The 26,476-nt window shown below is 39.5% G+C and overlaps 1 protein-coding gene across 9 annotated transcripts in view, besides 1 other annotated feature; it reads left to right on the forward strand.

The window, feature by feature from the left end:
* CELF2 (CUGBP Elav-like family member 2) overlaps positions 1-26,476 on the forward strand; it is an 874,126-nt gene that overhangs the window by 99,534 nt on the left and 748,116 nt on the right. The gene's annotated exons all lie outside the window — the stretch shown is intronic.
* Positions 22,257-22,386: a silencer, noted in NCBI's record as "silent region_2120". NCBI's record gives its function as "represses an Ori minimal core promoter by ATAC-STARR-seq in GM12878 lymphoblastoid cells {active_cell/tissue: GM12878}" and the evidence as "EXISTENCE:reporter gene assay evidence [ECO:0000049][PMID:35858748]".

The following is a 26,476-nucleotide window of genomic DNA, read 5'->3' on the forward strand; positions in this document are numbered from 1 at the left end:
TTGCCTAGAATTCCCTTGAGAACTTCCCCCAGTGGAGAGGTTATTAGGACAAGATTTTAGAATTGCTGGATTTCCAGCTGTAGTCACTCTAAAATAGCACGAAAACAACACACACACCCTCTGGCAACACTTTTCTCTCCATCTCCACTAATCCCCTTGTGTAGATGGTGGGCAGATTCTCCACATAAAACTGTGAATTATGACTTCTGCAGACAGGCTGTGTTTCTGGCTCAATGAAGAGCCAAAGGGATAGTTATGCACAATTAGTGATGAATAATCCTAATCGCTTACATATATTGATCATTTACTATGATGTCTAAGAAATGTTTGTGTAGTGTTGTATCAATCTTCCCAATCATTCTTCAGCATATGTGCTATAATTATCCACTTTTTAAATAGGGTGAGAGTGAAGCATGAAGAGGTTAAGTAATTTGCAGAGAGTAGTGGCAGATCCAAGACTCTCTCCTGAGCAGCCCGGCTCCGGAGCGTTCATGCTGTCCTTTCTAGCGACCTCACCGTGTCTCCCTTGGAAAACAGGAATGAGGGGACTTAGAAAGGAAGGTTCTCATTCCTGAAGTTACCCACACAAGCTTTGACCCCTCACAGTTTCTACTGCATTGGTCCTTTCCCTCCTCTGTCTTCCCTTCCTCTTCCCATTCCTTCCCTTTTATTTCCTTTCACTTCCAGGTCAGATACGGAGCCTACCTCCCTGCCCTCCACAGCCTACCTCCCTGCCCTCCACAGCCGTATGCTCCGTCCAGCCAAGGACTATCTTTCTCAGGCTTGCCATGGGGCAGTAACTATTTCTAAGGCAGCACTGAAACTTCAGGAAGTCTAAGGCATTTTTTTTTTTTAAAGCTAGGAACAAAGATAAAGGGACAGAATACGAAGACCTGGTCCTCTGGTCCTTCCTCCTCCCCACCTTCTCTTTTCTTTTATTAAAACCTCTGGAGAATGACATGGTTGCCATGTAAATGTTCAGGAAGTGGCTTCCATCCTAGCCCCGTGAATGCCATAGGATCTCTGGAGGAGAGGGAAGAGTCAGATAGAAGTCTTGAAGCCATCTGGGGAGAAAGAAAGGCTTACCTTCCCAAATTTCAGCCCTCGTTTTCTGTCTCTACTGACGCTGCTGCCACCACTGTCCTCCTAGAAGACACCCAGCCAGGAAGGATCCTGGGCAAGGGGTAGGGTGGGAGGATCTCAGAAGGATCTCTTTTCCTACTTACGAAGGAAAGAGAGGATAGAGACTGGGCACAGTGGCTCCCACCTCTAATCCCAGCACTTTGGGAGGCCGAGGTGAGTGGATCACTTGAGGTCAGGAGCTCAAGACCAGCCTGGCCAACATGGCAAAACCCGTCTCTACTAAAACTACAAAAATTGGCCAGGCATGGTGGTGTGGGCCTGTAATCCCAGACTTGGAAGGCTGAGGCAGGAGAATCGCTTGAACCCAGGAGACGGAGGTTGCAGTGAGCCAAGATTGCGCCACTGCACTCCAGCCTGGGCGACATAGGGAGACTGTGTCTCAAAAAAAAAAAAAAAAAAAAGGGCAAGGGGAAGATAGAGATTCTAAGAAATTGCTGATGGCGGGGTGGGATTCCTGTACTCGCTGATCATTTCTCATCATGCTTCAAATGGAAGAAACCTGAGGCTGTGTGTTCTGTGAAGGTCCATTCTATGTAATGTGTATTCTGTGGACCTGCAGAAACACAAAGAACAAAACGGGGCCTCACCTGCAGGGATCTCACCATCTAGATAAGCCTCAGAATAAGTTGCCTTAAAAATAGTTAACACTCACATTTGTTGAGATTTGTGAGAGGTGAATTGAGAAGTGTTGATTTAAGTGTAATGTATCAAAGTGACACTTGGTTCAACACGCAAGAGTGTGGCTCAAAGTTTGAGGCTTGATGCTATGCATCTTCGGTGTTTGTTTTCTCATTAAAAAGTGCAAGTAGAAGTATAACATGTTAGGTTATTTTATTTGCATACAAAAAATAACTTCCTCTCTCCCATCCTTTGCTCGCTACCTTTTGCCTCCAATGCCTCTGTGTAAAGTGTAAACCACTTCCAACACTTCCAAGCAAGTTAAACTTGAAGACCTACTTAGGTTCTCAGGCTCATCACCAAGGATTTAAAGCCTCTCTATTCATTCGATGACAATGGTTTCCATGGCAATTACCGCAACACATGACATCCCCTGCAGCTCAGCTCAGAAATGCATCAGCAGAAATGGCGACACATCAACACATTTGCCAGGAAGAGCTGGGTGGAGTCCTTACTGGGACTTGGCATAAGGAATTAATTAAGATTTTTTAAAAAGCGAACATTTTGATTTCTTGGTGCACAACTGATTTTTCTCCTCTTTTTATTTCAACCCATCACACCTGTGAAGATATGTTTTACAGCAAATCGCTGGAATTATGACTATGTAAAAGTCACCAGGGACAAAGACAAAAGTGTTGATGACCATTTTCATCACCTCTTTACCCTTTTCATCTGTTTCTGACTCATTACACCTTGCCCTTTCCTCTTCTAAGACCGGTATGTCTTGTTAACTGAATACACACACACACACACACACACACACACACACGCACACACGCACACACACACACACACACACACACACTTTCTCCACGAAGAAAAGCAGCCAAGTGCCAAAATGCAAACCCAGGCTTGGGTTCCACAGTGCTCTAAACAATCTGCCCTTCCTACCTCCACCAAGAAAAGCAAATGGAAGGCACACTCAAACTACCTCCAGAAGAAATCACTAGTCAAATCAATACACAAATAAAAAGGCTCCCAGTTAATAAGCAACCTACAATGTGCCAGGCACTGTGGTAAGAGCTCTGCATAAATCATTTCATTATGACTCCATGAGATCAGGATTTTCACTTTTGTACAAATGAAGAAATGCACGCTCAGGGAAAGAAAAGTTTCCAGGATTGTACAGCCGAATGTGTCAGACATGGAATTTTTAACCCAAATTGGCCTGGCTCCAGAGCCCATGTTCCTTAATTAATTGATAAAGGGGCTTATTTTCTCACTCGGGTTCGAGAGAAGGTAGGGTGAGGAGAGGCATTCAGTCAAGTGGCCCAGGCTATTATCTGAGCACTTGAAGTCCCTGTACACTGGCTGGGACAACACTGAACAAGTCCCTTGCAGCCTTTTCTCCTTAATTTTTCCAGAAAATGTTAAGAGCAATGTTGACCTGCTTTCCTAGTTATGTAACAAGTGACTGAAATAATAAGTCAGTTCTGAAATGCCAGCCTGTGATGACGGCTCTCATAAACCCACAGGGATAGACCCCTGCAAAGGGGAGGTAGAGAAGAAACATGCAGAATAAAAATGCTTTCAAATGAATAGGAAGAGGGGCTTCCTCAAAAGAGAATGACTGGAATCTCTCATTATCCTTAATCTGTCTAGCCCTAAGCAGATGTGTTGGATGAGCAACGCCGCTCCTTATTCTAACTTTTGTAAGACCTGGCTCTAGAGGGTCCAAAGGCCACCATGAGAAGACTCTCTGGGTCATTCCTGGATGCTTCTGGTGTAAGAATATATAAGACTTTGGAAGACTTTGTGTGTGTTCCTTAATTTCTCTGCAAGGAAGAATTTTGGACTTACAGACTTCCTTTTAATAAGCACGGTAATGCAAATATCTGTTACTTCAGCCTGAGAGCCTATTTGTGTGATCATTAAAGATGGAGCTACATTAGCTTCATATTAAGGTAATAGCTATGCTTATCTAATTTTGCATTTACTTTATTTAGGCTCAGTCCTTAATGATGTATGATACCTTTAATTAAGGGTCAGCAATTAATGAGGCAGTGGAGGTTGCCGTACTTGACTTTATGCTTTAGTTAGCAGAAATTAAACATGCTTCTAATTTTGCATCATTTTCTCCTTTTCTTGCACTTGAGAAGCTATATAAAACAGAACTTTGGAAATTACATGGAACTCTATCCCAACCCATTCTAACCTATATGTGTATTTAATGTGGCAAGATTTTATCCAACACGTGAGGACACAAAACAGAACCATGCATGGTCTTTACCCTCAAGGAACTAGGAGTCCAGGGATAAGCATATTAGGTTTTAATAGATGTCATTTTAAAAGAAGGCTCCAGGGAAAATGTGAACCATAATCTCTCTAGATGGGATCAAACTGAGGTCCAAGGACCTCAGCACTTTGCAGGGCTTCCCATTCACTTCCACAGCAAACATGCAGGAAAAAAAAAATAGTGTCCCAGTTGCCAGTGATTGTGCTGCTCTAGGTTCTTGCAAGGACCTTCCACAATAGCACAACAGAAAGGCACTTAGGGATTTTTTTTTTTTTTTAATTTTTTTTTTTATTATACTCTAAGTTTTAGGGTACATGTGCACATTGTGCAGGTTAGTTACATATGTATACATGTGCCATGCTGGTGCACTGCACCCACTAACTCGTCATCTAGCATTAGGTATATCTCCCAATGCTATCCCTCCCCCCTCCCCCGACCCCACCACAGTCCCCAGAGTGTGATATTCCCCTTCCTGTGTCCAAGTGATCTCATTGTTCAATTCCCACCTATGAGTGAGAATATGCTTTGAGAAAAAGAAGATGAAACAGCCACCTTTTATAAACCCTCAGGTTGCCATCTTTTGTTCACAACATATGTAAATAGATTAGAGCTGAATTCTATGCTGAGTCCAAAAGACTTTAGATTTTTCAAGGCTATCATATTGTGATGTTATCAAAACACTGCTAGAGATTGTTTTGGCTTCTTGAAAATAAGTAACTATCCTAGAATGGGCCTCTTCCACCGATCTCTACTTAAATTTTTATATTTACTCAGATTATACAAGCTATAGCCAAAGAACATGCATGGCATTTGGCTTTTAGAGGCACACATATTTACCTCCACATATGCATAAATATACATATTGAAGTATTGCTCACATCTGCCGCGAAGATAAAAGTGAACTGGATGTTTATGCAGAAAAGGACAGTGTTCATTTAAGAAAAGACAGTCTGAATAAAATAAGAGCAAAATTTCCAGGTAGACTTCTTCTAAATAATAGATACAAATAGATTCAGTGACTAAACATTTCCTCTATTGTTAAGTCAGTTTTAATGGTAGAGACACCTGAAGAAGGAATAGAAATAAACTGCCTTTATTTTAAAACTAGAGAATCGTGTTACACTTCCAACAAACCGACCAGGAAAAGTGCATTGACTTTAAAATTCAAGTAGAGGTAGTTTGAATCCTATGTTGCCATTTATAGATCAATTAAACTTCAGCAAGTGTCACAGGTCGGGTTCCCTGGGGAAGCTAGCTCTAAACTAGAGATTCAAGTATAGGAGGTTTATCTGGGAGTGCTCTTGGAATCAATACCCAAGGGAAAGGCAGGGAAGGAAGGCAGAGAAGCAGAATGGGGCGGGAAAATAAGCCAAGCTTTTATGCATCAACAGAGGCTTCAGCAGGCTACTAGGAACTCTTAAGGTGGGGTGACCCTTCGGAGTCAACCTGAGATGAGGCAAAGGGGTTCAAGCCTGTATATCTCCTACATTGATACCAAAATCCCAGAAAATGCTCAGGCGTCGATGCCTGAATCTTGACCAGTTATTAGCAACCCCCTACCCTGATCTTTCACTGGATGAAGGCCTCCCCAGGAAGGGGCCATGACTTTGGGTGATGTGGCCCCCTTGAGCGGAGATACTTCCAAAAAAGTCTACCTTCTGGCAGGACTCCCAGCAGCTGGGGAAATAAATCCTGGAGAACAGATCTAGGCAGCATACCACAGGGTCTAAAACAGCATTTTGGATTCCTTCATTCATTCATTCAACAGATATTTACAAAACTCCTACAATCCATGATTAGGGTACCCAGTGATTAAGCAATGAACAAAGCTGACCACATCCTTACCCTCCTGGAACTCTCACTCTGGGGAATAAGGTAGAGGGTATACACAGAAGAAAGAAAAACAAAATAATTACAGGGTGTAAGTACTATAAAGCAAAGGGTGATAAGATAGGAAGTAAAAGGAGGCAAGGCTGCTTTAAATAGAGTCCTTTCAAGTAGAAAGGATTAAAGAATAAATGAAGAAGTTGAGAGAATGAGAGCAAACAATCCATTTGAAAGCATGGGATGGTAACTGCAGGAGGACAAGATTCCAAAAAGATACTTGATATGGGTGTAAGATTATTTACAAGGCAGATGATTAGAGAGGAAGGGGAGGATGAGTCCGGAGAAAAAAAAAAGTAAGTGAAGAAGAAAGGTCCCAGATCAGGGATCAGCAAATTACTGCCTACAATTGGAGGAAGCATCTGTTTTGTAAATGAAGTTTACAAAAGCATAACCTCTTGGTTGCTTATCACCTATGGCTACTTTCATGCCACATCTGCAGACTTGAGTCCTTGTGACGAAGAGCCTAACATTTTTTGTTACTATCTGGACCTCTACCAAAAGAGTTTGCTCACCCTTCGTTTAGAGGAGCCAAGATATAATGGAATCTGGTGCAGATCTGAAGTTGACTTTGCCTACAGCAATACTGGTACCTTTCTTGGATGTAACAGGAAGGCAAGCAAAGAAGATCTGCACAGAGGCATGGCGGTTTGTGGATGTAATGATAGAGAAAGAAAGGAGTTTCATTTTGTTGGCTTTTATTTTCTTAGTGAAAAATGTGAGTGAGGAGGAGGGTTAGGGAGGGTTTAAAAAGAGGGGAAAGGTTTTGAAGTTCTCAATTTGGAGAAAGAAAAAGCTGGTTTACTAGGGAAGTATGGTGGAATTGAAAGAGGTGGTCTTGAGTACCTATTGGAGCCTATGGCCATAAATCTGAACTACACTCAATTTAAAGAAGCGACTTCTAGTTACAATATTGTAATAAATTTATGCTTTCAGGCCATTCCTTCTCCTCCAACCTGTAGCAAGGAGAAATAAAATAGAAAAAAGGCTAGATTGATCTTAGAAAGAAGATATCACCATCATTTACTTGAAACAGAGCAGAAAACTATGGCAGTGGAAGAAAGGGGGCTGCTAATTACTGGTCAAAAATCAGGCATTGATGACTGAGAATTTTCTGGGATTTGGTAAGTTTATCAGTCCATTTTCCTGCTGCTGATAAAGACATACCTGAGACTGGGTAATTTATAAAGAAAAAGACGTTTAATGGACTCACAGTTCCATCTGGCTGGGGAGGCCTCACAATCATGGGGGAAGGCAAGGGAAGGACAAAGGCATGTCTAAACTGGCAGGAGGCAAAGAGAGAAAATGAGAACCAAGAGAAAGGGATTTTCCCTTATTAAACCATCAGATCTCATGAGACTTACTCACTACCACGAGAAAAGTATGGAGGAAATGGAGGAAACTGTCCTCATAATTTAATTATCTCCAACGGGGTCCCTCCCACAACACATAGGAATTATGGGAGCTACAATTCAAGATGAGATTTGGGTGGAGACACAGCCAAACCCTATCAGTAAAGGATAAAATATATTTTAATCCAGGCTCATTTGTGAAGCTAGGGTTAAGATGTGTGTATCAGTTGGGTTGTGCAGAAGAAACAAAAAGCACCCTATACATTTTAAAGAGAGAGGAATTCAATGCAAAGAATCAGTACTTTCAGAAATCATTGGGAGGATTGAAGAAGCAGTTTCCAGGTGGACTTCTTGGAATGACTCCTGAAACACCATGAACTAGACACTGGGGAGTCACAACTTCAGTGGCTTTGGGAGCTATGCTGTCTTAGACTGCTAGATGCTGCCACAGTCATGGAAAACTCTGGACATCAGGAGAATGTTCACCAGAAACTGCTTCAGGAGAACTATGACCTTGCTACCCAGCAGAGACAAACAGAATCTTCAGGAAGATTGCCTCTGTCTTACTTCCTCCCAAATCTAGCATGGATATACCTCATTGGCAGAATGTAAATTATAACTGAAAGAGAGTGCACTGGCTTCCCAACCTCTCTAGATAACAGGAAGAAGAAAAGGTAGTTGAGAAACCAATCTAGTGCCTCCCACATTGAGGTGTCATAACATGAGGCAGTTGCTCACCTGAGACCTGAGGTCTTGCATATAGGGAGCTGTGGGTCTACAAGGGCATTGAGGGGAGCAGAGCAGCAATGCCTCAGGGTGAGAAGCCAAGTCAAACCCACCTCCTGGATCAGTCAATGGCCTGAAGAGCCCTGAAGCACAATTGTAAGATGTGGTTCCACATTGTGCATCCCAGGAGCAGGGTGGAGGCAAGGAATGAATTGAGATTAACCAAAAGCAAGTGAGAGACAGAGAAAACAGAAAACCTCAGCTCAAGATGAACTTAACAACCAATATTTATTCCCAAGAAGCCAGCATCTAAGTCAACAAGCAAAACACAAATTCACCCCAGGTGAAAGGAATTTTATATAAATGTTTAGGATGTTCAAAGAGATAAATGAAAGAATAATACCAATTTTAAAAGATTACTAAAATGTAAAGAAAAAGGCTAAAATGGGTGGATATGAAAGAGACCCACTTAGAAATCTAGTAATTAAAACTAAATTACTAAAATTAAAAATATCTGTATATAAATAAATAAATATGTATATATTTGCCACAATGTAAGATGCCACAATATAAGAGTAGCACAGTTAAGGAGAGAATTAGCAAGTGGGAAGATAGTACTGAGAAATTTACCTGGAACATTGATAACAACGTTAAAAGCATGAATGAGAAGTTAGGAGATGTTGAAGATAGCTCAAGAAGCTTCAGCATATGTCTAAAGAGAGTTTCAGAAGAAGAGCATGCAGGAAATGGTGGGAAAACAATATGTGAAGACATGTTTCTGAGATTTTTGCAGGAAAAAAAAGATGAGTAGCTTTTTTGAGGTTGAAAGTGCGCTCTGAATACTAAGCTGGTTAAATAAAATCAAAGCCTCACTGAAATGAGTTGTAATTAAATAAAAGTACATCAAGGTTAATATTAAAATCTTAAGAGCTTCTAGAGAGAAAAGAAAGGTGACTTGAAAGAAACAGGCAATTACATAACCGTCGGCCTTTTCATCAGCCATAATTTAATACTTTCAGAAGCAAATGGCAGGCCAGCATCAGAGGACTGAAAAAAACATAAACAAATGCGAGAATTAGATTGACTGGAATTTAGCAAAATGACAGAAAAGCAAAATATTCAGACAGTTGAAGACATTAGAGCATTTACCATCCACAGACATTTACTAAATCTATTAGTAAAGAACGTACTTCAGTCAGTAAAAAGCAGACACATTTGGCTGGTTGGCTGGCCTGGGAAGGCACTGCAAGAAAGATATTGCTTAAAATAGTAAATATTATGGACTGTTGACAGTAATAAAATAATAAAGTGCATCCAATCGCCCAAATAATATAATATTTCTCCAGAACCTATAGTTATTAAGCTGCTGAAGTATTGGCAAATAGGCTTTTGCCACACGAATTCAAGAGCAGGAGAGAAAGTCAAGTTTGGTGACAGTTTGTACCAAGCAGTAATAATAAAAGCGACCATGGGTTGTAAATTGAGTTATAAAGAAAGTGAAGGCATCTGAGCTGTTGTTAATAATGCAAAAATGACTGGGAGGGTACATGGGGCATCATTAGGAGGTCTTAATGAGATCAAGGAAAGATTGCTATCAGGATGCTTGTAAGGCTGAGTCGGACAGCAGATTCTTGCAGTAGATTTCAGGGGTATCTAATGGAGTGACCGTGGGTCATGAGATAAGCCAGAGTGTAAAAATTTAGAAGTGAAGTATAGGCACGGACGGAATTCTATCATTTCTCAGGATGAGATGAGCGTAGGAATGAGGAGAGGACAGAGGGTCTGGAACCCAAGACTTTAATAAATAAAGAGAGGGAGGACACAGTCCATCAGTCACAGCAATACTCTTATTGCTGTCAATAAGAGAGGGAGGCAGAACAGTCTGATGGGATTCACCTCAGTGGGGCAGAGCATGTTGTAAGAATGTGGCCGTGGCCATGGAGAATAGCTTTAGAAAGTGTAATGTTCTGTTTTACACCTAATTAATGGCAACACGTATGGTATTAGTCCCTGAGAGAGTCTGGGCCCATGACCTGCACTGCAGAATGGTTCTTTAAGAAGTCCCATTTGCAAGGTTTAAATTAAATATAAAGGGAATTCAGACTTTTTTTTTTAATCATTAAGAGCAGTATATTTTCTATTGAGGTCCCTTGTTCTTTCTGGATATCTCTGTATTAAATCTTCTGACTTAATCTCAGGATTCATGAAACAGTTTTTGTTCGGTTGGTTTTTTCTTTTTTTTTTAATTTTTCTTTTTATTTTAAGTTCCAGGGCATGTGTACAGGAGATGCAGTTTTGTTACATAGGTAAACGTGTGCCATGGTGGTTTGCCGCACCTATCAACCCATCACCTTGGTATTAAACCAGCATGCATCAGCTATTTTCCCTAATGCTCTCCCTCCCCCACCCCACCTCCCCTGACAAGCCCCAATGTGTGTTGTTCCACTCCCTGTGTCTATGTGTTCTCATTGTTCAGCTCCCACTTATAAGTGAGAACATGTGGTGTTTGGTTTTCTGTTCCTGCATTAGTTTAATGAGGATAATGCCTCCCAGCTCCAACTGTGTCCCTGCAAAGAACATGATCTCATTCCTTTTTATGGCTGCATAATATTCCATGGTGTATATGTACCATATTTTCTTTATCCGGTCTATCATCGATGATGGGCATTTGGGTTGTTTCCATGTCTTTTCTATTGTGAATAGTGCTGCAATGAACATACGTGTACATGTATCTTTGTAATAGAATGATTTATATTCTTTTGGGTATATACCTGGTAATGGGATTGCTGGGTCAAATGGTATTTCTGGTTTTAGATCTTTGAGGAATCGCCACACCATCTTCCACAATGGTTGAACTAATTTACATTCCCACCAGCAGTGTAAAAGCATTCCTATTTCCCCACAGCCTTTGCCAGGATCTGTTGTTTCTTGACTTTTTAATAATTGCCATTCTGACTGGTGTAGCTCATTGTGGTTTTGATTTGAATTTCTCTAATAATCAGTGTTGTTGAGCTTTTTATAATGTGTTTGTTGGCTGCATGAATGTCTTTTGAGAAGTGTAGGTTCATGTCCTTTGCCCACTTTCTAATGGGGTTGTTTGTTTTTATTTCTTGTAACTTTGTTTAAGTTCCTTGTAGATTCTGGATATTAAACCTTTGTCAGATGGATAGATTGTAAAAGTTTTCTCCCACTCTGCTGGTTGCCTGTTCACTCTGAGGATAGTTTCTTTGGCTGTGCAGAAGCTCTTTAATTAGATCCTATTTGTCAATTTTTGCTTTTGCTGCAATCGTTTTGGTGATTTCATCATGAAATCTTTGCCTTTATAGAAGAGTTTTTATACCTTGACTGCAATGACTTTCAATTCCGTTGTGTGTCCAAGGGTTCAGTGGGACTATATGTTTTTCTTTGGGGTGGTAATCTGTACCAAAGAGATGCAGAATTCTTTTTCTCAAGAAGTTTCCAGTTCAATGAAATAAGAGCAGGAAATAGATCTTGTGAGCACATGTACTTACATTTTTATTGTTTTTATTGATTACAAATAAAATATGCAAACATCTTACATCTTACATCTATTTTTCTGTAAATTAAAATCTGTAAATAAAGCTCAGATTAAATGAGAAATAGAATATTTTATTTGATCAAGTTTCAACATAATCGTTTCAGCTTTTATGGGATTAAAAATAGTCAATCAAAAATATTCATTGAGATCCTCACACATTTAAGGTGATGATTTCAGTGTCACAGGGATGCAAAGAACTATAAGACCAAGCCCCTACTTTCCAGAGTTTTTATTTGCATATTTTTATTTATATATTATTCTGTAAAAGCCAATAAGTATTAAATGCCAAAGAGAAGTATTCTTCTGGTTTAAAAAAAATTGTTCTGCATGTTCATAGTCAAGAAGGATCAATTTGATCTGATCTGGTCACAGAGGACCTCAGAAATTTTGTATTTTAAAGAGAAGTTGGGAAGTTAAAAATGGCCTGAATACAAATTTGGGACTCAGAAGACATATTTCATAGAATCCACTCTCTTAAATAAAGGAGGGTTATATGGGAATCATGGGAAATAAAGATTAGATGGTAAAGAACTTTGAAAGCCAAGGACATTATCCCACAGGCACTGCAGACCAATAGAAGGCTTTTGAGCAAGTAAATGATATAGTGAAGGCAGTAGGACTGTCATCAGTAGGACCAACTGATGACAAAGTAGAAGAAGGATTGTGCAAGAAGCACACTGAAGGCATGAAATTCTGCTAGTGGGGGCCATGCCGTGCTGGGCAGGAAGAGATAATTGCCTACTCCACAGGTTAAGGAAAAAAGCGAAGAATAAAAAGCTAATGAGAAACGTGTTATGATCCACCAACCAACTTGTTACTAATGATTAGTGGTGAGCTGGTAACAAGGGATAAATTTTTAATTCAAAGAGGTTTAACAACAGTTCCATTTAATTTTAAAAAGTATGGGTCTTCTCATGAAAATAGTGACAAACAGGAAAGAAAGCTGTTTTTGTTCAAAATAAGTATTCTCGTATTTGTGAAGTATAATATGTACAAACAACCCAAACATTGTAGCTGGCAGTATGTATGTTAATGTTTTTTTGTTTTTGTTTTGTTTTTGTTTTTGAGATGGAGTTTTGCTCTTGTCACCCAGGCTGGAGTGCAGTGGCATGATCTTTGCTCACTGCAACCTCTGCCTCCTGGGTTCAAGCAATTCTTCTGCCTCAGCCTCCTGACTAGCTAGGATTACAGATGCCCGCCACCATGCCTGGTTTTTTTTTTTTTTTTTTTTTTTTTAATAGAGATGGGGTTTCACCATGTTGGCCAGGCTGGTCTTGAACTCCTGACCTCAGGTGATCTACCCACCTTGGCCTCCGAAAGTGCTGGCATTACAGGCGTGAGCCACCGCACCTGACCTATGTTAATGTTTAAATTCAAGCAAATGGCTTTTTATTTAGTTGTTCTTATTAAAAATGCTAAGTATACCTAATAACGTCAAGAAAAATAACCCAGCCTTCACAATTTAATAATAAATATAAGCACAATTGATCACCATTCTATACATATGGTGTTTCACTGAGCCTGTTTCTTCTAATAATAGCAACCAAAACGTGAATGAAAGAACACAAGAGAACACATTACTTATTAACCCATTCTTGAAGGGTGTTAGATGTAGAATAAGGTCTAACTCATGGAAGGAGCCTGAGCTAATCCATGCTTTGCATTTAGGTTATACCTGTTTTCCTTTATCAACCAAAGTTGTCCTTTGTCAATTGACGTTTTATATAAAGTACTCACAAAACTTGCTCTATGTTGGACATTTATTCTCCTAGAAATGTAAGAAATGTTCATTTGCAAAATACCTAATCCAGACAGGTTTTTCTTTTGTTGAGTGTGTTTTATGCAACATGTCAGGGTTTGAGTTTTTTGTTTTCCCAATTCATAACCTTTTCCACCATCACGTAAAAAGATGACTCTCTCACCATGTGGTTTCTCTGTCTGACCTAACATCAAATACGTGCAGTCTGTTCCAAGAATTGAAAGCTTAGCTTCCCTCTGGCTACTGAGGTCATATGTTTAAATTTTTAGGTCAACACATCCAATTAAAACAGGTTTGGTGCAGAATAGATGATAAAAGCTAGAAGTGTTACAAAGAACAAGATATTCACTCAAGTAACATATAAATTAGGGGAAAAATGGAAATTTACTATTGGTTCATGTTCAGAGTGTTGGACACTCTAAGTGAAATTCAACAACTGAAAAAAACATCTTTCAAGATCACAGTAGAGGAATCCTTGACCCCTGGCAAGGTCCTGAATCATGAGCAGACATTATCTCTGGATTCGGAGGAGTAAATCATATCAAAGTAGATTTTAAATCAAATCAAAGTAGACATTTTAGCAGTCTCATGGACTAACATAAAAGGTTTTGCATTCAGAATCTTTTGCAGAAGCTGTAAGGCAGAACATTTCAGGCATCTGGCTGCTGCTTTATCTGGCTGGGCCTTTAGCCCCAGATCTTTTCTGTTTCTCGCATGGCCAGAACTGCAAGAGTTCTCCCTCATCCCTCTAGGGAGCTAGAGACCAAATTGGGGGGCTACGGGTATAAAAGAAGTTCAAGGACTAAGGGTCAAAGAACTGCGAAGAGCTGAGAGCTTCCTACCCATCACCCCTGTCTAAAGTTTGTAGTTAATATGAAATAAAAGTCTGCCTAGATTAATTTTGGAGTCCTTTTTTTTAAATAAGATGCAGTCCAATAAGCATAAATACTAGCTTTCTCAGGCACATATTTTGACATTTGATGAGCTCATGAAAGAAGAAATCAACCCCAGAGAAGGCTTGCAATGCTTCTAACGTATTAGTTAATATAGGAAGACTTCCCAGTGTATAGGTAAAGAAAGAAGAGTCTACTTTAATTTGCATTAAGAACCCGATGGTACCACAACAATAACTCTACTTTTGTGCAATTGCCTTAATTTTTCTGGGATGACTTGTGTATTCCCACCATTGTACTTTTACCCATGCTATTTTTCTTATTTCAAATATCCGTTAACCATCTCTCTACCAAACTATAAAACCTAGCCCCTTCACCTCCTTCAGGGTGCTTTCTCTGCCTCCCCCAATTCTATCCACTCTGATCTTCTCTCATTCTTCATCCACTTCCCATTCACTTGTACAGTGTGTGGTACATTATCCAGAGTAACTGGTATAAAGTAAATTAACACTGGAGTTACTCTTACCAGTGTGTTGTTTAATTGTGTTGTACTGGAAATGTGGTGCTCCTGAGGCCTATGTGAGTGAGAGATTTGCTTTCATTTAGGAAACCAAAGAGGAAGAGGCTATTCTACCCCCAGAGGGGTTTACATATTCACTCCCATTACCTCAGCAAGAAGGAAAACACTAATCACACAAAGGGGAATGCAGCCATCAAAACAGTGGGCTCAGAGCACAGCAGAGAAACTGACAGGCAGAATTTGTATCTTGAGAAAGTCCATAAGCAAAGACTAAGATAGAGGCCCTGAAGCAAGAAGCAAACTGCATTGCGCCCAGAGTAAATGATGAGAATATCTCAGGACACACAGAAATAAATCTAGACTGGACAAGAGCTGTTGACAGAGCCTGCATGGCAATGGGTTATTTGTTCCTTAGTAGGGAGGAATCAAAGGTTGATAAATCACTTGATCACCTCTTCAGTTCCTGACAGGACTGAAAATCTGTATGTTCTTATTGTGGAATTTGGGTCCAGTTGTTCTCAACAAATCTTTTTATTATTATTATTATTATTATTATTATTATACTTTAAGTTTTAGGGTACATGTGCACAATGTGCAGGTTTGTTACATATGTATACCTGTGCCATTAACTCATCATTTAGCATTAGGTATATCTCCTAATGCTATCCCTCCCCCCTCACCCCACCCCACAACAGTCCCCAGTGTGTGATGTTCCCCTTCCTGTGTCCACGTGTTCTCATTGTTCAATTCCCACCTATGAGTGAGAACATGCGGTGTTTGTTTTTTTGTCCTTGCGATAGTTTGCTGAGAATGATGGTTTCCAGCTTCATCCATGTCCCTATAAAGGACATGAACTCATCATTTTTTATGGCTGCATAGTATTCCATGGTGTATATGTGCCACATTTTCTTAATCCAGTCTATCATTCTTGGACATTTGGGTTGGTTCCAAGTCTTTGCTATTGTGAATATTGCCACAATAAACATACGTGTGCATGTGTCTTTATAGCAGCATGATTTATAGTCCTTTGGGTATATACCCAGTAATGGGATGGCTGGGTCAAATGGTATTTCTAGTTCTAGATCCCTGAGGAATCGCCACACCGACTTCCGCAATGGTTGAACTAGTTTACAATCCCACCAACAGTGTAAAAGTGTTCCTGTTTCTCCACATCCTCTCCAACACCTGTTGTTTCCTGACTTTTTAATGATCGCCATTCTAACTGGTGTGAGATGGTATCTCATTGTGGTTTTGATTTGCATTTCTCTGATGGCCAGTGATGATGAGCATTTTTTTCATGTGTCTTTTGGCTGCATAAATGTCTTCTTTTGAGAAGTGTCTGTTCATATCCTTCACCCACTTTTTGATGGGGTTGTTTGTTTTTTTCTTGTAAATTTGTTTGAGTTCATTGTAGATTCTAGATATTAGCCCTTTGTCAGATGACTAGGTTGCAAAAATTTTCTCCCATTCTATAGGTTGCCTGTTCACTCTGATGGTGGTTTCTTTTGCTGTGGAGAAGCTCTTTAGTTTAATTAGATCCTGTTTGTCAATTTTGGCTTTTGTTGCCACTGCTTTTGGTGTTTTAGACATGAAGTCCTTGCCCATGCCTATGTCCTGAATGGTGTTGCTTAGGTTTTCTTCTAGGGTTTTTATGGTTTTAGGTCTAACATGTAAGTCTTTAATCCATCTTGAATTAATTTTTGTATATCAGCTTTCATGAGGTCCTCTGTTATCGTATATCAGAGGAATAATCTAAAGGGAGAACATATTGGTATACTGATTTCCAAAGTGGGAAAAGGACCATGCAAGCACACCCCAGCCCCAAAATCTAATTATCTTACCCAAACCTGCATTTCTCAGGATATTCTACTTTCATTACGTTGGCACTTTTCAACAGGATGACTTAGTTGCTTGTGTTTTATGGGTAGATTCAGTCCTTCCATGGGTCCACACCCTCTCTAGGCATTCACATCTTGACGTTAATTCTTCCTCTAAGAGCTAAGACTAATTTCCTTTTGCACCAATCATCCCAATGCTTGATACACTTTAGGTTGTTGATGCTAATATTAACTTTCACATCTATTAGCTGCTTAGCTCATGCATGTTGGGACTCTTCAACTACATCATAATCTCCTGATCTAAGACATAGGAACTCTATTTCCTGCTTTTGAAATCTTCCAAAGCCTGATAGTCCTCTACACATAGTGTCTGTTTTTGTTTAGTAACAAAACATGTTTTTGTTCTCTACACAGGAACATGTTTTGTTTAATTAATGATTGAAGAAAAAAGGGTATAAAAGAACAAGTAAGTGCTGTAAAGGAATAACAAGTTCCTTTCAAGTTCTGATTTCTTGGAACTTCCAAATGGAGACATAGTAAAATTCAAATCCAATGAACTGCTTCAGGGGAGTATTATGGATTTGCATCTTGGAGTTTAAGAAGGCTGAAAATGCAGGATTGACGTTCATGGAGAAACATGTATGTATGAGCATCTTACTGTCTTTAGATGGTCTTCATGGTACTCATTGCCTTTCTCCAGGGGATGGAGGCTCTGTGATAAATAGGAACTGGATGCCTCACTTTGGCTTGGTCTGGGTAGTTCCTCAAGGATTAATATAGGTTGTTAACTCATTGTTTAAGACACATTTCTCACTGAGCTGCATTTGTTATTGACCTTAGACCCCCGGGCTGTTATATACCATTGGAGTTAGGATGTAGATAGATACAGATGTATAAATACATATTTGTGGCCTAAAATAAAGTCTTCCCTCCACCTTGAAAATACAGCAAGAGGATAAACATAGACAGTCCCATAATAGAGGCAATGTTACCCCGGAATAGTAAAAATATTCATCTTTTGGTATCATATTGTTATCTTCAAAATACATTGAAGAAATGTTTCATCTCCTCTAGGAAATATTAACTATCTGATATTATGGAATACATAAAAGTTCCAAATATCTGAGAAAGAAACAAAATTGTTTTTCAGTAGGAGCTGCAGAGTAAAAATAAATACACACACACACACACATGCACACACTCCCACACTCCCAAAACACAATGAGGTATTGATGTAATAGTTTATAAATAGAATGCTGATGGGGAAAAAAATGAGATTTGACTTACAGGAACCGATAACAAAGAGTGTGAGATCTGGACTGATGTGGAAATTCAAGAACACATCAAAAAAGATTACCATAAATTATCTTCTCCTTCTACACAGTAATAATAGTGATGATGCAAGGAAAATGTATTTAAAGAAAGTTTTTCCCTTAAAATAATATATTACAAAATATGTTTTCATATGAACACTAAAATGAGACCATGAGTTGGAAAGGTCAAGCCATTCAAAAAGCTTATAATCACTCCTGGATTAATTAAGGTGGGGGCAACCTTCTAAAGTACAACCTTTAGAAGAAAAGAGAAACTAGGGCAGGGAATCTATTGTCTCCCCCAATTCATAAGTGCACTTTGCAAGAGAGAGTTTATTAAACTTTGCTATTAATCTCTTAACCATGCTGGCATCTAGAATTGTTCACTGAAAAGAAGTCTCCAGATTCTATTTCTTCCATAGATTGACCCAGGAATGACTATAAGAAATCCTTTTTTTACTCTTCTAAGCTCACAACCTGTTCCTGTTCGCACCCTTAAATGTTAGTATGGTTTACCAAGACCACTGGCTAAGCATTCTGACCCGGCACTAACCAACTGTGTGACCTTCGGCAAGCTCCTTCATTTTTCTGGGCCTCAGTTTCTTCATATTTAAAACAGAATGATTGAAACCCACAATTTTGAAAGTTCCTGGCAGTTCTTTAATTATGATTTTAAGAAACTAATACATAACATAGATTACGAAACATTAGAGAAAATAGAATCTAGATCATTGTATTTCCATTTCAAGCTTTCTCCTCTTGGCAGTTCTGTCTCCTGAGAATCAGAGAAAAGGGAATCAAAGTGGCTTAACAAACTGTATTACATTGGATCAATAAATATTTACTGTATGGTTGAGTCAATGGGTGAATTGATCTCTTAGTGACTGTAAAAACTCTAAAGAAGCTAATAGAATTACCTGAAAATATAGTGTGAGTGGTAAGGAATGATTTACATTTATAAATTTCTCTTTCTTGTCCATGAAAAGGTTACAATTATAGAAAAATAGATCTATTTGGATCACAATTCCACTCCATAGTCATTATTGCCTGTATGTCAGAGATAATGTGTTTTTGTGTTTTAAATGTTGGTGAATTGCACATATTTGGAATCTCCTGAAAAGGATAGGATGTCAGTGTTTGCACATAATAATTGTTGTGAAATATATGTGTTGTTTACAAGCTAACAAATGAGTAGTATTCACAACTGAACAAAAGATGTGGTCCTATTCATTCAATTTGCTACTAGTTGCTCCCCAGATATTAGTTTAAGTACAACCTTTAGCTAAAATTTCTATATTTAATTTTAGAAATAGCTGATTGTTTGAGTCAAGGAGCAATCTATGAAAGCTAAGTTGAAAACTGCCGATTTTGATCCATTTTGCTTTCAAGAGGGTATCTTTATGGGGAAGTCCAGAGTGCTAGAACTTGGATTGACCATTGCAAATAGGAGATGACAGTCCAAATAAGAGATGAGGAGAACGCTCTGGCAGGGTGGAGATTGTGTCAGTAGTACTCAGGAAAGCTGACACACCAACACAAGTAACAGAAAAACAGCACACTGTCTCCCTCTCACATTCAGGCAAACCAGGGTAGTCACATGAGGCTCCAACAAGAAGGAGGATTGAGCAGGAAACAAACTAATCCAGAGACTCATTCTACAAAGCCAGCTCCAAATTATTTTGAAAATCAAATAACTAATGTGATGATTTGGTAACCATTAAGATATCCACAAATACTTACATTAAGATTAAAAGGGTCACATAGGCCAGGCGCGGTGGTTCACGCCTGTAATCCCAGCACTTTGGGAGGCCAAGGTGGGCTGATCACGAGGTCAGGTGTTTGAGAACAGCCTGGCCAACATGGTGAAACCCGATGTCTACTAAAAATACAAAAATTAGTTGGGCATGGTGGTGGGTGCCTGTAATCCCAGCTACTCAGGAAGCTGAGGCAAGAGAATTGCTTGAACCCAGGAGGCACAGGTTGCAGTGAGCTGAGATCGTGCCACTGCACTCCAGTCTGGGCAACAGAGCAAGATTCCATCTAAAAAAAAAGGGTGGGGGGTCACATATCCACATATCCTGTCTAGCCGGAGCAAGATTTCCAAGATGTCCTTGTTCCTGTGAAAATTTGTCTGACTGTATATAATCTCACTAAGGACCTTTTCCTATCATACTTTCTATCCACTTGACCGAATTTTCCTGTATACTGGCCCGCACTTGTGAATCCCTGCTCAGGGGATATTTTAACTAGTTTATGTCAGTATTTTTATAGCAAGCCCCTTACAACATTTTAAATGTTCTTTTTCAAAATTTAAATACATTGATGAAATCCATTGTTACATACCTTTTGGATATGGGTCCTTGGTGATGATCTCATATTCCTGTCTACCTGGGATATCAGAAAGGCTAATGCCTGAGATAGTTTTCCGAGATTATATTTTTTCATAGAAATATATAAGTTAAGGATAAGAAGGGAACTTAGCGATTATAGAGTCAAGGCTTCTCACTTTATAATTGAACAAATGGTTCATTATCTAGATTTTTTATTTTTACCAACCACCTCTCCCAATCCTTTCCAATTCCAGTTAACAACCTTGTTATTGCATGTAATGAGTAATTTCCTCAGTCCTGCATATTCTTTCTCAGACTTTCAAGCAATCAATAAGCATTGTTGAGTACTCTTCATATTCTCTGAGCTATACTAGCTGGTCTAGGGAGCTGCTTTTATTTCATGGTGTTTTTCCCTAAAAGCGTAAAAATATGATACAAATAAGGTAAAATAAAGGGAAGAATTGGAGCTCCCAGGTCATGACCTTCTTCTGTATTCTGCCAGTCTTTGCTTTCAATGAAAAAAGTGGTAAAATCTCAAATTTGCATTAATACAAATACTGTGTAGAATTTAGAAAGAAGGAAGTGATGGTTTCTTTCTATTCAAGGGCAGTCAACTCACATCTGGAATAAAACATTCAGTCTTGGACTTCTCAATTTAAGAGGAGTTGGACAAGCTGGAATCTGTGCAGTAGATAATGAACAATTTCAAGACCACGTAGCATAAAGAAAGATGGAAGAAATAGTATAGACTTAAACCTAAAGAAGAAAGACATAGGGGATAATGAAAGCTGTCTTCAAATATTCGAAGGCCTTGCAGTGCAACTATGTGAAAGAGGATTATGATTGATATGTAACAGTTTGTCTCTAGAATCACCAAACCAAGGGTACCAATGAGGTCCCATCAACACCTGGAATTTATTTATCTGCTCTTCTCCACTTTTATAACTGCAGGATTTGACAGTTTATCAGGTTTGTCCTTCTTTATGTCTATGTGTCCTCAGGGCATTTTCTAGTTACTCATGATTTATCCCTCACATATTTTTCTGTTCTCACCTACATTGTCCATGAGCCCCATGGGGAAAGTAATTCAGGCTTACCTGTGCTGTTGGCAAAAACAATATTTTGTACCAAGGAAGTGGTCTCTCAATGCCCCAAAGCTTCAAAACCATTTTAATGCAAAAATCTATGGGTCCTCTAGGGTTAGCCTGAAGTTGCTGCCTGTATTTTGCTCTAGCTGAGGAGACAGTCATTTCTCCCAGTAAAGCTTCAGACCAGGTTGCCGGGGCAGGACTGGAAATCAGTTTCTTTCCTCTCACACCCAAGGCAGCTCACCAGAGTTTATTCTTTTCCAAAAGCCCTTTCCTTCTGTAGAATATACTTACAGAATGTGACACCTAGGAAAGAAAGACCGAGACTGGCACTATCCTCACACACCCAAAGTCAGAAATGAGCTGTGATCACACAAAACTGGAACCCAGGAGTGGAAGATACCAGGAGATGTTTCAACCTAAGGAAAGATGAGGGTGTAACTGGGGCTTTTATAAGATCAAATGTGCAACCTTGAGAGTTTTGTCTCCATCACTGTTCCTGTTAGAGTATGTAGTCCAAGAGCACTAGGTTGGAAAGGTGTCTAAAAAGGATCCAAGCGGCAAATGAGTGGACTATATAGCCTCAAAGATGCCTTCCAACCCCAAGACCGTAGGGGGCTAAGGCTGTCTACTCCCCTGAATAGAGACTTAGGATGTTGATAGAGCGATTAGCAGGTCTGTGATAACACGGTTATCACCACCTACCTAAAAACAAGCAAGAAATAAGAGGTCAGGATGTCTTTAGCTCCTCTTCTATATGTAGACTTAGCCCTGATAAAAGAAAAATTTTGACTGAATTAAATTTAAAGGAGCTTAATTGAGCAATGAACGATTTGCGAATCAGGCAGCCCCCAGAATCATAGCAGATTCACAGAGACTCCAGCACAGCTACATAGTGGAAGAAGATTTACAGACCATAAAAGGGGAAATGACATACGGAAATTGAAGTGAGGTACAGAACTGCTGGATTGGTTACAGCTGGGCGTATGCCTTATTTGCACACAGTTTGAACACTCAGCAGTGTATGAATGGTTGAAGTGTGGCCGCTGGCATTGGCCAAGACTTAGCTATTGTTACAGGTACATACTACTAAGTTAGGTTTTCAGTTTTGTCTGCCTATTAAGCTGGTTACAGTTCAACCACAAGGACTCAAATATAGAAGTACCGAGTCCTCCTCAGGACATATTTAGTTTGCTTTAACAGCCCTGTTTCTCCAAGTTTAATGCATAGACACTGTATCTGAATCACTTGTGGAGCTTACTAACAATATCGATTCTTGTAAGGAGAGCATTGGAACCACTGTCTTTAACGCTATGTTATCTAATATAACTTTCTGAGATGAGGAAAGAGTTCCCTGTCTCTGCTGTCCAATGCAGTAGCCACACGAAAGTCACAGGAGCCTGTTGATCATTTCAAATGTGGGTTGTGAGACTAACGAAATGAATTTTTAAGTTTTAGTGTTAATTTAAATTTACATAGCCCCATGTGGCTGGAGGCTACGATGTTGAACCAGGGCAGTTCTAAAGTCTAAGAAGGAGGAAATTTTGAGAGAAGTAAGTTTGATTTGCACAGAAGAAAGGGTGGATCACTAAAGCAAAATTACAGCAAGGATATAGCAAGAATTAAAGAGAATTTTAACAGGAAGGGATCTTGGAGGTCATCTAGTAAAATAGCCCTTAACCTTTCTGAGGTTTTGAAACCCTTTGAGAATGGCTGGAAGCAAATGAATATTCTCAGTAAGATGCTCCTACTAATTCATGTATAATCAATTCATACGAGGTTTTAGAGGTGGAGGGTTAGAGAATTCCCAAAACTCATCCATTGTCTTCTTGCCAAACCATAAATCCCTGATTGGGAATTCTCAATAGAGCAAAATACCCCTAAGTCTGCGGACAAGAAAACTAAAACACAGAGTTCCAGGACTGGCCCACAGCCATTCATTTGTCAGCAAACTTGGCTTCCGTTATCTTTCCCTTCTGTCCTCTGTACACCTTTCTCTACCTTGGGTCATGGAGAAAGGAAACTACATGATGTATGTATATGGATAGGAGAACCAGCTAAGTGCTAAGATTTATACACAAAAGTTGGGGTTTCAGCTGATTGTGTTAGAATGAACACACTAGGATTTGTGTGGAAGTGCAGTATTTGTGCAACATTTAACCTTATTCTGTTTTTGGAAATAAAGGTGCATTTGCTCCATATTCCAAGTGCAGGAAGAACAATAAAGTGTTTTTGATTACGCTCCCTTTGTCATATAAGAATAAAATGTAGTTTAAATGAGTCAATAAAGAGAAGTCTCTCTCTTCACTGTTTGATTAGGGGATCTTTTATGTAATTGATTTTCCAAGTTCTCAGTCATATTGCGGAAGGATCCCAATACATTTCAAGAGTATTAACTGTTAAAAATAGTTTTCAGTTGCTGGGTAAATACCAATTTGCAGCAACTGGGAAGAAAAATTTAGCATGACTGTTTACATACATTGTAGAGAGAATATTAACATCACCTTGAGATATCTGTTGTTTGCTTGTATGTGTGAAGAGAGAAAAGAAAAGCCAATGCTTAATACAACACTTGCAACTCACATTTACTATTGTATGTTCATAAATATTAATCTGGAGAGATAATTAGCTCTATAAATTTTACAATTAGCCTTTCAGAAGAGAAGTGGATGCTAATAAAATAAGGCATGCTTTCAAGCTGCACCACTGCAAATGCTTTTACTCTCACAACTCTGAGGCAGGGCCTGTCTTTGTTTAATCTTTTCCTGAAATAGGCTTGCTTTACACTTATTCCCTTTCTCCCTTGAGACAATAACTTGCAACAGGGAAAATAGGTTTCTATTCTCAAAATCTGGTTACCATCTATTTTTTAATTTTTTTCTTTTTTCTCTGGAATATCCTGGAATAACAAAAAGGCCATGTTTGACCCTCTAGGAGACTGCTCCAATTCAGGCCAAATGAAACTTACATGTTTCAGAGATTGCTTGGGTGAAATCAAGATGTTTGCATTTGCGTGCTCTTCTGTATGCATTGATTTGAAACACATACCCTAGTCCTTAAATCTGAGACTTACATCCTACAATTAATGTCATTTACAAATTAAAAAGATGTTCATGAAAAAGTGTGTCATTTTCCCCTTTGAAGCTTGTCATTTTGGAAAGTTCAAGGGAAGCTATGCCGTGTAGTGGGAAAACTGCTGGAAGCCTGCAATGCTGAGTTCCAACCTAATCATGCTCACTACCTGGGTGAACCTGGGCACACCACGTAATTTTTTTTCCTTGAAATTAGAATCATCAGTTTGATCATTGGGTTCCTAACCTGAATATACACTAGAATTTGCTAAAATACAGATCTCAGAACCCATCTCCAGCATTACTAAATCAGAATTTCTAAGAAGTGTGGCCCATTAATGTGTATTTTGAACACGTTTTCCTGGTGGTTCTTACAGTCAGGAGGAACCAGGTGGATTGTATACGGCAGCTAGAACACATAGTGGCCTTTAATGTTTCTTCCTGCTCTGAATGTCTAAGACCTAAACATGCCAGTGGATTGATGCAGGGTACAGGGAGAAGGCCTTTGGAAGAAAGAGGTTGCTAGGCTGGTTTCTGCAAACAAAGTACAAAACATGAGCAGAACCAGAGGTGCCCCTTTAGAAATGATCAAAACTGAGGCCCAGAGAGGGTTTGTCCTAGTATCCGTGTCTTTAACCACTTTGTCATGCTACTATTTGGTGAAGGGAGAGAAAAAGGAAAGAAAGGGAGTTCACATCACCAAGTAGAAGGAGAAAGCAACAGACCACCCTTGGGCAGAGTCCACATATTGTGTAGCCCGCATGGGGATTTATCAAAAATTACATGCAACAAAATGTCGATAGGACATGCATAATCCACTTGCTCCATTGAATGATAACCAACCTGCTTCACTCATTTCACTCCTATATATTTTCCTACTTGAACCCAAACGCATTTGCATTTGAAATCACTCTTAGCACATCTCGGTAGGATCCCTTGAAACCTCTGCCAGACAACTTCAGGGGAACAGAAGAGGCAAGTCCTTGCTACACAATTAAAGTGTTCAGAAGCCTTCCCAATTATTTTAACTCATCGGTCGTGGCAAAATAAACATCTTTCACATAGCAATAAACATAAAAATAGAATAACATAAAATAAACATCTTTAACATAACAATAAACATAAAATCCTTTTTTTGTTGTTTGTTTGTAAGTAAATTGTAGAGATCTATCTGTCCTTGTCCCTTTTCAAGACAAGTCCTAGGAGCAGGAAATACCAAAACTATCCACGTTAGCCCTAGAATTGCATTCTGAGAATTCCAGCTCAACTCTTTCCTTGCTCTTTGTTTGAATTCCCCTGGTAATTTTACTACTAAAGAAGCTCACTTAGCCAAATTCAAGAGGAGAAATGAGGGCTTGACTACTGTGTAAAACTAGCTTATGGCTCTGTGGGCTTGGTGAGCAAGATCCCAGGGCATGTTATAAATAGATACCCGCAGATTTGGGAAAAGGTTTACAAGATTTTCCAGCCCAAGCACATGTTAACTGCTCCCCCTCCGCCCACTCACCAAGAAGGAGGAATTGTGAGAAAAGGTAAAGATGTAATTTTTTTTTTTTTACATAATGTTTTAGCTGTCTTGAAGATGAAGGCATGATCCCTTCTAACAGACTGTGTTAAAGAAGCATAAATGTTTCCACCAACTGAGCCAGCAGGCCTAAAATTGTGCATGTTTGGCAACGGGCAGTCTCTCAGACGCTGATGGCCCCGTGACCCATTACCCCAAATCCCAGGGCAGCTTGAGACACCCTGGTGTCTTCAGGGGATTGGAATTTGGAACTTGGAGCCACAGGAGAGAAAGAAACTCCTTCAACCTTGAGGAAGACTATTTCCTAACAGGAACAAGCAGGTGAATGAGACCAGTGACCCTAGCTCCAACCTTGTCCCACACTGGCTGAGAGACCCTAAAGCTGTCACTTACTCCTCTGGGCCTCAGATGAACCTGGCAGCTCTGGCATTCTGTGAACTTGAGGTTGGTCCAAAGGGCTATTAAAGGGCGTATTGGGATTGTACCACCCTGGGATACCCAGAAGCCTCTGGTGGCACTCTGGCTGTCACCTCAGGATTTACCTCAGAGCAGCCATGCTCA

This window comes from Homo sapiens, chromosome 10 (genome assembly GCF_000001405.40).
Source record: "Homo sapiens chromosome 10, GRCh38.p14 Primary Assembly".
NCBI lineage: Eukaryota > Metazoa > Chordata > Mammalia > Primates > Hominidae > Homo > Homo sapiens.